At 49.8% G+C, this 14,926-nt stretch overlaps 1 protein-coding gene and 1 long non-coding RNA gene across 19 annotated transcripts in view, besides 5 other annotated features; one reads left to right on the top strand and one right to left on the bottom strand.

Moving 5' to 3' along the window:
* Window positions 1-1,553: 1,553 nt before the first annotated feature.
* LOC124904724 (uncharacterized) lies at window positions 1,554-13,408 on the bottom strand. Its single transcript, XR_007067264.1, has 3 exons — window positions 12,989-13,408; window positions 11,692-12,146; window positions 1,554-1,689 (listed from the first exon to the last, which is right to left on the bottom strand). It is a non-coding gene; the product is annotated as an uncharacterized LOC124904724 (long non-coding RNA).
* Window positions 2,356-2,855: an enhancer, noted in NCBI's record as "H3K27ac hESC enhancer chr19:44183469-44183968 (GRCh37/hg19 assembly coordinates)". NCBI's record gives its function as "activates a minimal SCP1, AML or CMV promoter by ChIP-STARR-seq in primed H9 embryonic stem cells {active_cell/tissue: H9 hESC(primed)}" and the evidence as "EXISTENCE:reporter gene assay evidence [ECO:0000049][PMID:30033119]".
* Window positions 6,639-6,738: an enhancer, noted in NCBI's record as "active region_14732". NCBI's record gives its function as "activates an Ori minimal core promoter by ATAC-STARR-seq in GM12878 lymphoblastoid cells {active_cell/tissue: GM12878}" and the evidence as "EXISTENCE:reporter gene assay evidence [ECO:0000049][PMID:35858748]".
* Window positions 11,935-12,234: an enhancer, noted in NCBI's record as "active region_14731". NCBI's record gives its function as "activates an Ori minimal core promoter by ATAC-STARR-seq in GM12878 lymphoblastoid cells {active_cell/tissue: GM12878}" and the evidence as "EXISTENCE:reporter gene assay evidence [ECO:0000049][PMID:35858748]".
* Window positions 12,003-14,926, top strand: part of PLAUR (plasminogen activator, urokinase receptor) — a 24,075-nt gene continuing 21,151 nt past the window's right edge. For 14 of the 18 annotated variants that reach the window (XM_047438937.1, XM_047438933.1, XM_047438936.1 and 11 more), the window contains exons 1-2: window positions 12,003-12,106; window positions 14,481-14,591. In XM_047438937.1, the coding sequence (XP_047294893.1) occupies window positions 12,052-12,106; window positions 14,481-14,591 (166 nt within the window). In that variant the 5' untranslated portion in view covers window positions 12,003-12,051. Of the gene's footprint in view, window positions 12,107-13,849; window positions 14,396-14,480; window positions 14,592-14,926 lie in introns of those variants that run through there. The other 4 variants (XM_047438929.1, XM_047438930.1, XM_047438931.1 and 1 more) reach the window with 1 other exon arrangement.
* Window positions 13,155-13,234: a silencer, noted in NCBI's record as "silent region_10727". NCBI's record gives its function as "represses an Ori minimal core promoter by ATAC-STARR-seq in GM12878 lymphoblastoid cells {active_cell/tissue: GM12878}" and the evidence as "EXISTENCE:reporter gene assay evidence [ECO:0000049][PMID:35858748]".
* Window positions 13,275-13,504: a silencer, noted in NCBI's record as "silent region_10726". NCBI's record gives its function as "represses an Ori minimal core promoter by ATAC-STARR-seq in GM12878 lymphoblastoid cells {active_cell/tissue: GM12878}" and the evidence as "EXISTENCE:reporter gene assay evidence [ECO:0000049][PMID:35858748]".

The following is a 14,926-nucleotide window of genomic DNA, read 5'->3' as shown; positions in this document are numbered from 1 at the left end:
TTTTTGAACTTGGCCATAATGTAACCTGAATTGCATGAAGAGTTTCTTCTTTCTTTTTCCGCTGGATAAGTGCACCTCTTGTAGCATTAGTATTTTCCCATCTGACGTTACAAACTATGCTGCAATGAAGAGCCCTGTGACCATATCATTTCACGCATGCACCAAGTTCCTGGACGTGGTGAGTGGTTTTGGAAAATGACGAAGGTTTTGCCACACTTGTGATTTTGAGAGCAATTGCAAAATTACCTCTTATAGGGCTGTACCAGTTTACACCCCCAGGAGAAACAATGGGGAGTATCTGTTTTCCCACAGCCTCATCAACTCCATGCATTATCAAACTGTTTTATTTTTGCCAACCTGAGAGGTGAAAAGGTGTGTGGTCGAATACAAGTGGCCACGAGTTCTGTGCAGCTCCTTCCATCAAGAGATAGCGTCGATCCTCCTCCTTTCAAATCTGAGCTGGTCTTGTAACTTGGTTTGGCCAATAGAATGAGACATATTGATGTCCCATGAGTTCTGAGCCTGGGCCTTGAGCTCCTGGCCTCAAGAACTTGCAGCTTTGTCAGGGCGCAATGGCTCACCTCTGTAATCCCAGTGCTCTGGGAGGCGGCACGGTAGGGGGATCACTTGAGCCCAGGAGATCAAGACCAGTGTAGGCAACACAGTGAGACCCCGTTTCCAAAAAAGAATAATTAGGCCGGGTGCAGTGGCTCACGCCTATAATCCCAACATTTTGGGAGGCCGAGGTGAGTGGATTATTTAAGGTCAGGAGTTCGAGACCAGCCTGGCCAACATGGTGAAACCTCACCTGTACTACAAATACAAAAATTATCTGGTCATGATGGCGGGTGCCTATAATCACAGCTACTCAGGAGGCTGAGGCAGGAGAATCGCTTGAACCCAGGAAGTGGAGGTTGCAGTGAGCCGAGATCACACCACTGCACTCCAGCCTGGGCCACAGAGCAAGACTGAGTCTCAAAATAATAATGATAATAATAATAATAATTAATAATTAGGCCGGGTGCAGTGGCTCACCCCTGTAATCCCAGCACTTTGGGAGGCCAAGGTGGGTGAATTGCTTGAGCTCAGGAGGTCAAGATCAGTCTGGGCAACATAGCAAGTCCCTGTCTCTACTGAAAATACAAAAAAATAGCCAGGCATGGTGGTGTGCACCTGTATTCGCAGCTATTCGGGAGGCTGAGGTGGGAGAATTGCTTGAGCCCAGGGGATGGAGGTTGCAGTGAGCCGACATCTCACCTCTACACTCTAGCCTGGGTGACAGAGAGAGATCCTATCTCAAAATAAATAAATAAATAAATAAATAAATAAATAAATAAATAAATAAAATTAATAATTAGTTTTAAAAATTTAAACAAAAAGAACTTGTCACTGCTGTTCTCACTTTCTTGCTGCTGAAAACCCTTTGACACTGGATGAAGGAGCCCAGGCTTACCTCTTGCAGGGTGAGAAATCTTGAGGAGAGAGGCTCCCAGCACCCCAAACATCACGGTTGAGAGTCCAGACATATAAATAAGACCATCTGTCAAACTGAATACCTATAAACAATAGACATTTATTTCTCACAGTGCTGGAGGCTGGGAAATCCTAGGTCAAGGCACCAGTAGATTTAGTGTCTGGCAAGATCCTGCTCTCTGGTTCATGGAAGGCATTTTCTTGCTGCATCCTCACCTGTTAGAAGGGACGAAACAGATCTCTGGGGTCTCTCTTATTGACTAATTTTTTTTAGAGCATAGTCTCACTCTGTCACCCATGCTGGAGTGCAGTGGCACAATCATAGCGCATTGCAGTCTTGAACTCTTGGGCTCAAGAGATCCTCCTTCCTTAACCTCCTGAGTAGCTGGGAAGATGGGCATGTCCTACCACGCCTGGCTAACCTTTTTTTATTTTATAGAGACAAGGTCTCCCTTTGTTGCCTAGGCTGGTCTGGAACTCCTGGGCTCAAGCGATCCTCGTGCCTCAGCCTCCCAAAGTGCTGGGATTACAGGCGTAAGCCACTGTGACTGGTTAGTGTCATTTTTATAGGGGTCATTTGTGCTTCTTTTCCTGTCCTCTATTAATTATTATTATTATTATTATTATTATTATTATTTTTGAGACGAGTCTCACCCTGTCCCCCAGGCTGGAGTGCAGTGGTGCAATCTCAGCTCACTGCAACCTCCGCCTCCCAGGTTCAAGCAATTCTCTTGCTTCAGCCTCCCAAGTAGCTGGGACTACAGGTGCACTCCACCATGCCCAGCTAATTTTTTGTATTTTAGTGGAGACGGGGTTTCATGGTGTTGCCCAGGCTGGTCTCGAACTCCTGAGCTCAGGCAATCCACCCATCTTGGCCTCCCAAAGTGCTGGGATTACAGGCGTGAGCCACTGTGCTCCACCCAATTGATTCATAGAAGCTCTGTTAGCCTCCTATGGCTGCTGTAACAAAGTACTACAGACTGGGTGGGTCAGAACGACAAATGTATTGTCTTACAGTCCAGAGTCCAGAAGTCCAAGATCAAGGTGTCATCAGGGCCATAAACCCATAGAGGACTCCTACCTGGCTCTTCCCAGCAGCAGTGGCTTTCTGGCAATCTTTGGCGGTCCTTGGCTTGCAGCTGCCTAGCTCCACTCTCTTCCTTTGTCTTTACATGGCATTATTCCTGTGTCTCTCTGTCGTCACAGGGCCACCTTCTTCTTTTTTTTGAGATGGAGTCTCACTCTGTCACCCAGGCCGGAGTGCAGTGGCACAGTCTCGGCTCACTGCAGCCTCTGCCTGATGGGTTCTAGCGATTCTCCTGCCTCAGCCTCCCAAGTAGCTGGGTCTACAGGCACGCGCCACCACGCCTGGCTAATTTTTGTATTTTTAGTAGAGATGGGGTTTCATCATATTGGCCAGGCTGGTCTCAAACTCCTGACCTCAGGTGATGCACCCACCTCAGCCTCCCAAAGTGCTGGGATTATAGGCGTGAGCCACCGCGCCCGGCCTAGGGCCACGTTCTTATAAGGATGCCAGTCATAGTGATTTGGGGCCCAACCTACTTCAGTATGACTGCAACTTAACTAATTATATCTGCAACAGCCCTATTTCCAAATAAGGTCACATTCTGAGTACTGGGGGTTAGGACTTCAACCTATGTTTTTCTGGTGTGGAGGGGAAGCAATTCAACCCATAACAGGAGCTCCTTATATATTCAGAATATTAGGCCTTGAATTGCAAAGATGATTTCTGCTGTTGCATCTAGGCGGTGGAATAAAAGAGCTGCAAGGTGCTAGAGGCAAGGAAAGCTTTTTTCTTTACACAAACTCAGTGAATATTATTCCTCTGGTCCCTGCTTCTTTCCAAGTCACCCCTAATACCATGAAGCCAGAGAGAGGCATAGCAAAGAAGGCTGCTGAAGGATGAGATGGAAAGAGGCGGGAGCTGGGAGAGAACAGGATGAAACTTCTATTAATAGCTCCTAGTCTTTGCTTGCCCTACTCCAGGGCAGCACCCCTCAGCATGGTGGGTGTAAGTGTAGGAAACAGAGCCAGAATGCAGGGGTTCAAATCCTGACACTACACTTAGCAAGTCAGTTTATCTTATTTTATTTATTTATTTATTTATTTTTGAGACAGAGTCTCGCCCTGTTGTTTAGGCTGGAGTGCAGTGGCGCGTTCTCGGCTCACTGCAACCTCCACCTCCCGGGTTCAAGTGATTCTCATGCCTCAGCCTCCTGAGTAGCTGGGATTACAGGCACCTGCCACCATACCAGGCTAATTTTTATATTTTTTTAAAGTAGAGACGGGGTTTCACCATGTCGGCCAGGCTGATCTTGAAATCCTGACCTCAAGTGATCCTTCCGCCTCGGCCTCCCAAAGTTCTGGGATTACAAGCATGAGGCACCACACCTGGCCTAACAAGTCAGTTTAGAAGCCAGATGTGGTAGTTCAAGCCTATTAATTCCAACACTTTGGGAGGCCAACACTGGAGGAATGATGGAGGCCACGAGTTCAAGACCAGCCTGGGCAACATAGTGAGACCCCCCACCCTCCCCCACCGTCTCTATTAAAAAAAAAAATTCAATCAGCCAGGCAGCCAGACACGATGGCTCATGCCTGTAATCCCAGCACTTCGGGAGGCCAAGGTGAGTGGATCAACTGAGGACAGGAGTTCAAGCCCAGCCTGGCCAACATAGTGAAACCCCGTCTCTACTAAAATACAAAAATTAGCCGAGCATGATGACAGGCATCTGTAATCCCAGCTACTCAGGAGGCTGAGGCAGGAGAATTGCTTGAACCTGGGATGTGGAGGTTGCAGTGAGCTGAGATTGCACCACTGTACTCCAGCCTGGGCAACAGAGCCAGAATCCACCTCAAAACAAACAAACAAACAAAAAAGCTCTCTAAAATCAGCCAGGCTTGGTCACATGGGCCTGTAGTTCCAGTTACTCAGGAGGCTGAGGCAGGAGGATCACTTGAGGCCAGGAACTGGAGGCCGCAATCAGCTATGATCCTGCCGTTGCACTCCAGCCTAGGCAACAGAGCAAGACCGTGTCTCAAAAAATAAAAAATATCAGCTCAATTTAGGCAAGTGAGTTAACCTCTTGTATTGGTGTCCTATTTTGCTGTAACAAATTAGCTTAGATCTAGTGGCTTAAAACAACAGAAATTTATTCTCTCACAGACTGGAGGTCAGAAGTACAAAATGTGTCTCATGTAATCAAAATCAAGGTGTCAGCAGAGCAGTGCCCTGGTCAAGAGATGTCCGGGGTGAGTGATTTCCTTGTCGTTTTCCAGCAGGAGCTGCATTTCTTACGTTTCTTGGTTCTTGGCCATTTCTCCATCATCAAAGCCCGCAGCAAATACCTTCTGTCTCCCACCCTGTTTTCCTCTGCTTCTCTCCCATGACTTACTTTTCTTCTGTCTACAGTCAAATGTCCCTGTCCCTCCTTCCTCCAGGGGCACTTCTGATTACACTTAGGGCCCATCTGGATAATTAGGAAAATGTTCCTGATTAAGTTCCTTAACTTAATCATATCTGCAAAGACCCTTTTTTCCTTTAAGGTAACACCCATAGGCTCCAGGGCTTAGGACCTGGATATTTTCGGGGACCATCTCTCAGCCCACCACACCTCTCTAATCCTCAGTTTCCGTGTGTGTGTACGAAATAGGATATTTACAGATTCACCAATAATATAGATAATACTCTCAAAACAGTACCCACTGTAACACAAACACAATAAACTTGAGACGGGGAGAAACTCATTTAAAGTCTCCTGTTTTAGGCCGGGCGCCGTGGCTCATGCCTGTAATCCCAGGACTTTGGGAGGTGGAGGTGGGCAGATCGCTTGAGCTCAGGAGTTCAAGACCAGCCTGGAGAACATGGTGAAATGTTGTCTCTACAAAAAATACAAAAATTAGCCAGGCGTGGTAGTGCACGCCTGTCATCCCACCTGCTTGGGCAGCTGAGGTGGGAGGATGGCTTGAGCCCAGGAGGTGGAGGTTGCAGTGAGCTGAGATCTCACCACTGCACTCCAGCATGGACGATAAAGCCAGACGTTATCTCAAAAAAATAAAAAGTCTTCCCTTTGGACCTCAGTTTCTCTGCCTGGAAAACGGGGGAAGAGGGTTATTGGACTCAAGGGTTTACCAGCTCTTCCACTCCCCAGGGAGGCCCTGAGTGGAGAGGTCCTCTACATCTAAGAGGTGTCCAGGCCAGGATCTGAAAGCCACATCAGTGTGGCCTGTTAGGCGTCCCAGAAAGGGGAGGTTATGAGCGATGGCCCTTTCCCTACCATCAGCTCAGCCACCCCCCATCCCCCCCACCTCCCCAACCAGAGAAGGACCTTCCCAGCGGCCAGGCCAGAGGGCAGTCACTTCATCATGGCAGGTGGCAAGAGGATGAGGGAGCCCCAAACAGGTGCACACACACACACACACGCATGCATGCAGGCACACTCACACACATGCATGCATACACACACTCACACATGCACATATGCACACACACACACACAGGCACACAAACACGTGCGCGCACACACACATGCACACACATGCACACAAACACATGTGTGCGCACACACGCATGCACGTACACTCACACACATGCACACGCATGCACACACGCGCACACATGCACACACGCACACACACAGTGTCCCTGTATCTCTGTGTCTATTTTGTGTTCTCTGAAGGCAACTGTGTGTTGTTTTCTCTAACTCCTCTGTCAGTCTCTTATCTTCTCTCTCTCCCTGCTTGCCCATTTTTCTTTCTCCCTGTCCTTGTTCTTCGGTTGCTGTTTTCTGTCTCTCTCACTCCCCCCACACCCCCATCTCAGATTTCCCCTGAGCCAGTCTGTCTGTGGGTCTCTTCTCTCTCCCTCTCCCTCGTTTCCCCACCTCCATCTCTATCCCCAGCTCTCTCTCTCTCTCTCTGTCTCTCCCTCTCTTTGCCTCCTCCTCTATCACCCTCTCTGTCTCTGCCTGAAATTCTCCTCTCCACAGGCTGGGGAAGCCCCCGAAACCCATGGGCCTCACCCATGATCCCGCAGGCAGGCAAGAGCTGGGTGAGGCCCAGGTGAGTCACGAGGAGGAAGGAGCCGACATCCCTGCCGTGTTTCTGGAGAGTGTCCAGGTCCTGATCCCTGCATTTCCCTTCCCTTTACACGTCAGCAGAACCTTACAGGTGTGTGTGTGTGTCACTTGAGGGAGAGACAGAGAGAAAGAATCAGAAAGAGAAACAGAAACAATGACACAGAAAGAGAAAGAGAGCCATGGGGAGAGACAGAGAAAAGGGAGAAGCAGAGATAAAAAGACATGAAGAGAGAGACAAACAGATACAGAGATCGAGGTACAGAGAGAGAAAGTGATAGAGTTGGAGAGAGAGAGAGATAGGCATTGAGAGAGAGAAAGAGGGACAGAGACAAAGAAAACAACAAAACAGAGAGATAGAAAAAGACAAAGACACAGGGAGAGACAGAAATTTCAGGAGGCGAGGGCAGCCTTGGGCAGGGATGAGTGGGCTCTGAAATACCTCTCATTCGTTAAAGAGGAAATTGGCTGAGCATAGTGGCTCACACCTGTAATCCCACCACTTTGGGAGGCCAAGGCGGGAGGATCACTCGAACCCAGCAGTTCAAGACCAGCCTGGGGAACAGACCAAGGCTCCATCTCTACAAAAAACACGAAATATGAGAAAATAGCCAGGCATGGTGGTGCACACCCCTAGGTCCCAACTACTCAGGAGGCTGAAGTGGGAGTTTCGCTTGAGCCCAGGAGTTCAAGGCAGCAGTGAGCTATGATCATGCCTCTGTCTCAAAAAAAAAAAAAAAAAAAAAAAAAGGGAAATTGGGAAATTGTGGCTTAGAGAAGTGAGGTCATCCCACCAGGAAGTGGTAGCAGCACAGCACACAGCTCCGCATGACCCTCAAACCTGAGTTTTCTCTTCACTGAGAGATGCCCCCTACCCACCCCAGACCCATTTCATAGGTGGCAAAGCCGGGGATTGATGGAGTGAAGCCATCTGCCCAGGGTCACCCAGAAGCAAGTGGCTGAGCTGGGTCTCAAGCCTGCTTGGACCAACACCCCAACTGTCTATTTCCCCACCTCATGTACATTCCGATCTAGTTTAGTTTTCACACCAGCCCAAGAGGGATCCCCTTCTCCAGCTGAGAAAACTGAGGCTCAGAAAGAAGAATGTCATTGGCCCAGGGTGACCCAGCCAGGGAAGTGCCCACTTCAGCAGCTGACGCGTGATAACTGTTGACGTCAGACTCAATGACAGGCCTCCATCTCCCTTCCTACTCCAGGAAGAGGTGAATGTCCAGAGTTGCAACAATGATAATACTGGCAGCTATCGCTTTTATTGAGCACATACTATGTACCAGGCACTGTGGCAAGCATCTTAGGAGCATTCTTCTTTTTGTTTGTTTGTTTGTTTGTTTTAGATGGAGTCTAGCTCTGTCGCACAGGCTGGAGTGGAGTGGTGCGATCTCGGCTCACTGCAATCTCTGCCTCCCAGGTTCAAGCAATTCTCGTGCCTCAGCCTCCTGCGTAGCTGGGACTACAGGTGCATGCCACCACACCTAGCTAATTTTTTTGTATTTTTTAGTAGAGACAGGGTTTTGCCATGGTGGCCAGGCTGGTCTTGAACTCCTGACCTCAAGTGATCCACCTGCCTTGGTCTCCCAAAGCACTGGTATTATAGACATGAGCCACCATGCTCAGTCATTTTAGGTGGATTCTTTTACCTCCGCAGTACACCAGCCCTGGGAGGGTGATACTTGCTATCTCTACTTTCCAGATAAGGGGCTTGGGCACAGAGATAGATTAAGTAACCTGCTAGAGGTGACACAGCCAATATGTAGATGCAATTTAGATTTTCACAATCTGAGACCAGCTCCCACACTCTTAACCATTGGGCTATACTACCTCTTAGGAAATTCTCTGGGAGTTCTTTTTTTTTTTTTTTTCAGTCTCACTTTTGTTGCCCAGGCTCGAGTTCAGTAGCTCGATTTTGGCTCACTGCAGCCTCAAACCCCTGGGGCTCAAGTGATCCTCCCACCTCAACCAGAGAGTAGCTGAGACCACAAGTGTGCACCACGACACCTGGCTAATTTTTCTATTTTTCATAGAGACAAGGTCTCGCTATGTTGTCCAGGCTGTAATTTTATTTTTTTATAGATACAAGGTCTTACTATGTTGCCCAGGGTGGTCTCGAACCCCTGAGCTCAAGCAATCCTCCAGCCTTCGCCTCCCAAAGTGCTGAGATTATAGGCATGAACCACTGTGCTCACCATTGGGAGTTTTTTTGTTTTTTGTTTTCTAACCTTATCTTAAAATCATTAGCTTACAGCTTCAATGAGTTAGTAAGAATCACATAGTACAGGCTGGAAGCGGTAGCTCATGTCTGTAATTTCAGCAATTTGGGAGGCCAAGGTGGGTGGATCACCTGTAGTCAGGAGTTAGAGACCAGCCTGGCAGACATGGTGAAACCCCATCTCTACTAACAATACAAAAATTAGGGCCGGGTGCGGTGGCTCACCCCTGTAATCCCAGCACTTTGGGAGGCTGAGGCAGGTTGATCATCTGAAGTCAGGAGTTCGAGACCAGCCTAGCCGACATGGCGAAACCCCATCTCTACTAAGAATACAAAAATTAGGGCTGGGCGCAGTGGTTCAAGCCTGTAATCCCAGCATTTTGGGAGGCTGAGGCGGGTGGATCACCTGAAGTCAGGAGTTCAAGACCAGTCTGGCCAGCATGGTGAAACCCCATCTCTACTAAAAATGCAAAAAATTCGCCAGGCATGGTGGAGAATGCCTGTAATCTCAGCTACTCAGGAGGCTGAGGCAGGAGAACCTCTTGAACCTGGGAGGCAGAAGTTGCAGTGAGCCGAGACCGTGCCATTGCACTCCAGCCTGGGTAACAAGAAAGAAACTCCGACTCAAAAAAAAAAAAAAAATAGCCAGGCATGCATGAGAATCCCTTGAACCTGGGAGGTGGAAGTTGCAGTGAGCCGAGACCACGCCATTGCATCCAGCCTGGGAGACAAAGTGAGACTCTGTCTCAAAAACAACAACAACAACGACAACAAATCACATAGTATAATCATTATTACAGCAGTAGAAGTAGCTACCACTTACTCATCCCCTACGACTCTCTTCCTCTCCTAATCTGTTCCAGCCACACTGACATCTCTTCTGTTCCTAGAATCTCATCAGGCTTCCACCTCAAGGCCTTTGCACTGGTTGTTCCTGCTCCTTGGAAAGGTTCCCTGCCCATCTGCCCTACTTCTTCCCTCACTGCATTCAGCCTCTGCTTGAATGCCACTTGCTCAGGGAACCCCTCCTGGATCACCCACCTAAAACAGCTCACACCTCATTTGCACCCAGATACTTCCTTCAGCCTGCTTTGTTTTCTCCAGTTTGCTTATCCCTCTCAGACAGTGAAAGATTAGATAACACATATCTGCTCCCCACTGTCAACACAACAAAAGGTGGGAACTTTGCTTTGCGTCCTGCTGTGCCCCTAGCTCCTGGACCAGTGCCCAGCACAAAGTAGGTCCTTGGTAGATGTTAAAGGAATGTGTTGAGCCCTCCATTTCGGCCAGCAGCTATTCCAGGCATTGCACCTACATTAAATTGCTCTGTTTAGTTAGATGCATCCTAAGACGGGGAGACAATTTTATCTTTAGTATTTTATTTTACTTAAAAAAAAAAAAAACTTGGCCAGGTGCAGTGGCTCATGCCTGTAATCCCAGCACTTTGGAAGGACAAGGCAGGTGGATCACCTGAGGTCAGGAGTTCGAGACCACCCTGACCAACATGGTGAAACCCCATCTCTACTAAAAATACAAAAATTAGCCGGGTGTGCTGGCGTGCCCCTGTAATCCCAGTTACTCAGGAGGCTGAGGCAGGAGAATTGCATGAACCCAGGAGGCGGAGATTGCAGTGGCCGAGATTGCACCACTGCACTCTAGCCTGGGTGACAGAGTGAGACTTCGTCTCAATAAATAAATAAATAAATAATAAAAAGAAAGAAAAAACTTATTATAAGCCTTTTCAAACCCACAGAAAAGGAGACAGAATGGCATAATATGCCCTTATATACTGATTACCTTTATATAATTGATACAACCATTTGGCTATTTTGCCTTTATTTTCTACTCAAGTATTTATTTATTTATTATTTTTTTGAGACAGGGTCTCGCTCTGTTGCCCAGGTTGGAGTGCAGTGGTGCAATCATAGCTCACTGCAGCTTCCAGTTCCCAGGTTCAAGCGGTCCTCCCACCTTAGCCTCCCAACTACCTAGGACTACAAGTACGGGCCACTGCACCCAGCTAATTTTATTTTATTTTTAATTTCTTTTGGAAAGATGAGGGCTCTTTATGTTTCCCAAGCTGATCTTGAACTCCTGGCCCCAAGTGATCCTCCTGCCTTGGCTTCCCAAAGCATTGGTGTTACAGGCATGAGCCACCTCATCTGACCTCTTCTAAAATATTATAAAATAAATACAGACATCAAAATGAAAACAAAAGAAAAAGAAAAAACAAAACAAAAATCCCCAAAACAACAACAACAAAAAATGCAGACATCAATAACATTCACCACTAAATACTCTAGTAAGCATCTGCAAAAACAAACAAACAAACAAAAACCAGAATCCCACCTAAGCATACAGCCATTGTCGTAACAGTGATATCTACTTTTTTGGCTGAAGTGTCTTTTTTTTTTTTTTTTTTTTTTTCTGTGAGAAGGAGTCTTGTTCTGTTGCCAGGCTGGAGTGCAGTGGCACGATCTCGGCTCACTGCAACCCAACCTCCGCCTCCCGGGTTCAAGCGATTCTCCTGCCTCAGCCTCCTAAGTAACACACACACGCCACTACGCCCGGCTAATTTTTGTATTTTTAGTAGAGACGGGGTTTCACCATTAAGTGTTTTAATGTAGGTGCAATGCCTGGAATAGCTGCTGGCCAAAATGGAGGGCTCAACACATTCCTTTAACATTTACCAAGGACCTACTTCGTGCTGGGCACTGGTCCAGGAGCTGGGGGCACAGCGGGAAGCAAAGCAAGGGTTAAGTGTTTTAAGTGTTTAAGAGATGCATATTTCAGGATGCATCTCTAGATAAGGACATTTTCCAAAATACCAGTATCCCTCCTGACAAAACTAACAAAAATCCTGTTAGCCAAATAATCAGCCACATTCATATTTACCGTCAAAGTTTTTATCCTCATTTTACAGCAGTGGAGAGCGATTGCCCCGGGTCCCACGTTAGGAAGAGAGAGAACTGGGATTTGCACCCAGGCAATCTGGGGACAGAGCTGTGATCACAACTCCATGAGTCAGGGCCGAGCCAGCCCCTTCACCACCAGCCGGCCGCGCCCCGGGAAGGGAAGTTTGTGGCGGAGGAGGTTCGTACGGGAGGAGGGGGAGGCGCCCACGCATCTGGGGCTGACTCGCTCTTTCGCAAAACGTCTGGGAGGAGTCCCTGGGGCCACAAAACTGCCTCCTTCCTGAGGCCAGAAGGAGAGAAGACGTGCAGGGACCCCGCGCACAGGAGCTGCCCTCGCGACATGGGTCACCCGCCGCTGCTGCCGCTGCTGCTGCTGCTCCACACCTGCGTCCCAGGTAGGGGCTGGGTCCCGAACGCCTGCGCCTGGAACAGGGTCTAATTGAGGGGGTTGGGGGTTGTCAGAGGATGAGTTGGAGGAATGCGGTTCAGTCCTCAGCATCCTCCCTAATCAAATAATAGTAATTCTCGTGCTTTGTGCAACGCCACGCGGCGCAGTACCTGGCACTCAGTAGCTAAGGAAATATTAGTGGAGCAAAGGCATTTAGCTTTACATAATTTAGTGAGTGCTTTTTTTTTTTTTTTTTTTTTTTTGACAGAGTCTCACTCTGTCGCCCAGGCTGGAGTGCAGTGGCGCGATCTCGGCTCACTGCAACCTCTGCCGCCCGGGTTCAAGCGATTCTCCTGCCTCAGCCTCCTGGGTAGCTGGGATTACAGGCGCCTGCCATCGCGCCCGGCTAATTTCTGTATTTTTAGTGGAGACCGGGTTTCACTCTGTTAGCCAGGATGGTCTCAATCTCCTGACCTCAGATGATCCACCTGCCTCGGCCTCCCAAACTGCTGGGATTACAGGCGTGAGCCACCGCGCCCGGCCCAAGTGTTCTTTTTTTAAATGGAGTTCTTCGAAGCCTCTTCCTTGCAATTTCAAACTAGGCGATGGGACTTTATTAATTTCGTTTCGCAGAGGAAACTAGGGCACAGAGAGGTTAGATAACTGGCCTAAAATCACACAGCCAGTGCTTGAATACGCAGGATCTGACCCTGCAGCGCCCCCCAGCGCTCTCCACGCTGCTGGGTCTCCCCCTCTGAGAAACGGGGGGACAGGACCCCCTTTTACAAAAGGCCCAAAGGGAGGCTGACTGAGCGGCGCAGAGCCAGTGCTGGAGACCCGGGACTGTCCCTCAGGACCTTTCCCTCTCACTGAGGCGACTCTCACTTACTTCCCCGGAAAATGTGGGGGGCTCTGGGTCGAGGAATTCGAGAAGGAACTGAGTCAGGGCGGGTGGCCACAGGGTGTTGGGGCCGCGATGAATAACCCGGAAAGCGCTCGAGACCGCGGGAGGCCGGGAATGAGTAACAGCTCCGGGATACTCCGAACGCGCAGCTGGAAAGGGATGTCCGGGAAGGCCCGGAGGTCGGGGACCGGGCCTAGGGACTGGGCTGCAATCTCGGGGCGGAGCCTGGGGCGGGGAGAGAGTGTCGGGGAGGAGCCAGAGGGCGGGGCTGGAACCTCAAGGAAGAGCTACGGGAGAGGTTACAGACCGAGGAAGAGCTAGGAGCGGGGCTAGAACCTCGAGGCGGAGCCAGAGGGCGGGGTTATAACCTCGAGGCGTAACCAGAGGGCGGAGTTATAACCTCGGGAGGAGCTAGAAGGTGGGACTAGACTCTTGAGGGGCAGGATTATAACCTCGGGGAGGAGCTAGAGGGCGGGGCTGGAACCTCAAGGAGGGGCTAGGGGCGGGGTTATAAGCTTGGGGAGGAGCTACGGGGCTGGGCTAGGACCTCAAGGGGCCAAGGGGCGGGGGTTACGACCTCGGGGAGGAGCTACAGGGTGGGGCTGAAACCTCAAGAAGGGACTGGGGCGGAGTTATGACCTCAGGGGAAAACTAGGGGCGGGGAGAGCTAAAGGGCGAAGTTAGAATCTCAAGGAGGAGCTAGAGGGAGGGACTAAAGCCTCGAGGAGGAGCTAGGGGCGGGGTTATGGCATCGGGGAGGAGCTAGGGGGCGGGAAGATAAGGTCAGGAAGAGCTAAAGGGCGGGGCTAGAACCTCGACGATGAGTCTGGAGCGGGGCCAAAACCTAGTTGGAGAGCTGGAGGGCGGAGACAGAACTTCGCGGGAAACTAGAGTATCTAACAATAGAAACTCCGGAGGGCTGATGGGGCCGGGCCTAGAATTTGGGAATAAATTAGTGGGCCGGGAGAGGCTCTGGAGCCGGGTAGAACCAGGGGGAGTGAGTGGAGGGATAGTTCCATTAGGGCACTGGGAGTGACGGTATAACATAAAGATCGACGCGGGTGGGGCAAGGCTAGAACGTCCCCAGCAGAACTGGAGAGGCGTAATCGACCGAGGGCCGGTGCGGTGAGAAAGACCTAATAGGAGCAGGAATAGAACGTACTGATAGAGAGGGCGGGGATACGACTGTCAGGATATACGCCTCACGAGGACAGAATGAAAGGAAAAACGGGCCAAGGCAGGACTTTGGGAAAGGACTTGTGGGCAGGGATAGAACGTTCAGTTAGTGGGGTGGAGGTAGAACGTGGACAACGGACAGACTGGAAGTACCGCCGGCCGGAACCCAGCAGAACATGGACACGAATCTGAATGGACGGGGCCTGGAGACTTGGTGTTGGTATTGGGACATGCAGGGGTGAGCGGGGGTCTTGGAGCTAAGCGTAGTTAACCTCTCCTCTCCTCTCCCTCCTTCCCCCAGCCTCTTGGGGCCTGCGGTGCATGCAGTGTAAGACCAACGGGGATTGCCGTGTGGAAGAGTGCGCCCTGGGACAGGACCTCTGCAGGACCACGATCGTGCGCTTGTGGGAAGGTGAGCTTCCCCCCAACCCACACACCCCTCCAGCGCAGCATGGAACGCGAGTGATTGAGAAACCTTCCTCACCAGTAACTGGGACATGCAAACTAAAAACAAACAAACAAGGAGAGCCCATTTCACACCCACCAGATTGGCAAGCATTTAAAAATCTGACAATACCCGGGTTAGTAAGGATGTGGAGTTGCAGACCGTGTCTGTGGTGGGGGAGTAAATTGGCACATCAACCACTTAGAGCGATTCGGCAATATCTAGTCCAGATGAAGATTAACATATGCTACAGCTCAACTCCTCGCCATGCAGAAATGCCAAAGAACCTTGGCCACATATAC

Source organism: Homo sapiens, chromosome 19 (genome assembly GCF_000001405.40).
Source record: "Homo sapiens chromosome 19, GRCh38.p14 Primary Assembly".
In the NCBI taxonomy this organism is placed as follows: Eukaryota; Metazoa; Chordata; class Mammalia; order Primates; family Hominidae; genus Homo; species Homo sapiens.
This window is presented reverse-complemented; position numbering and strand designations above follow the sequence as displayed.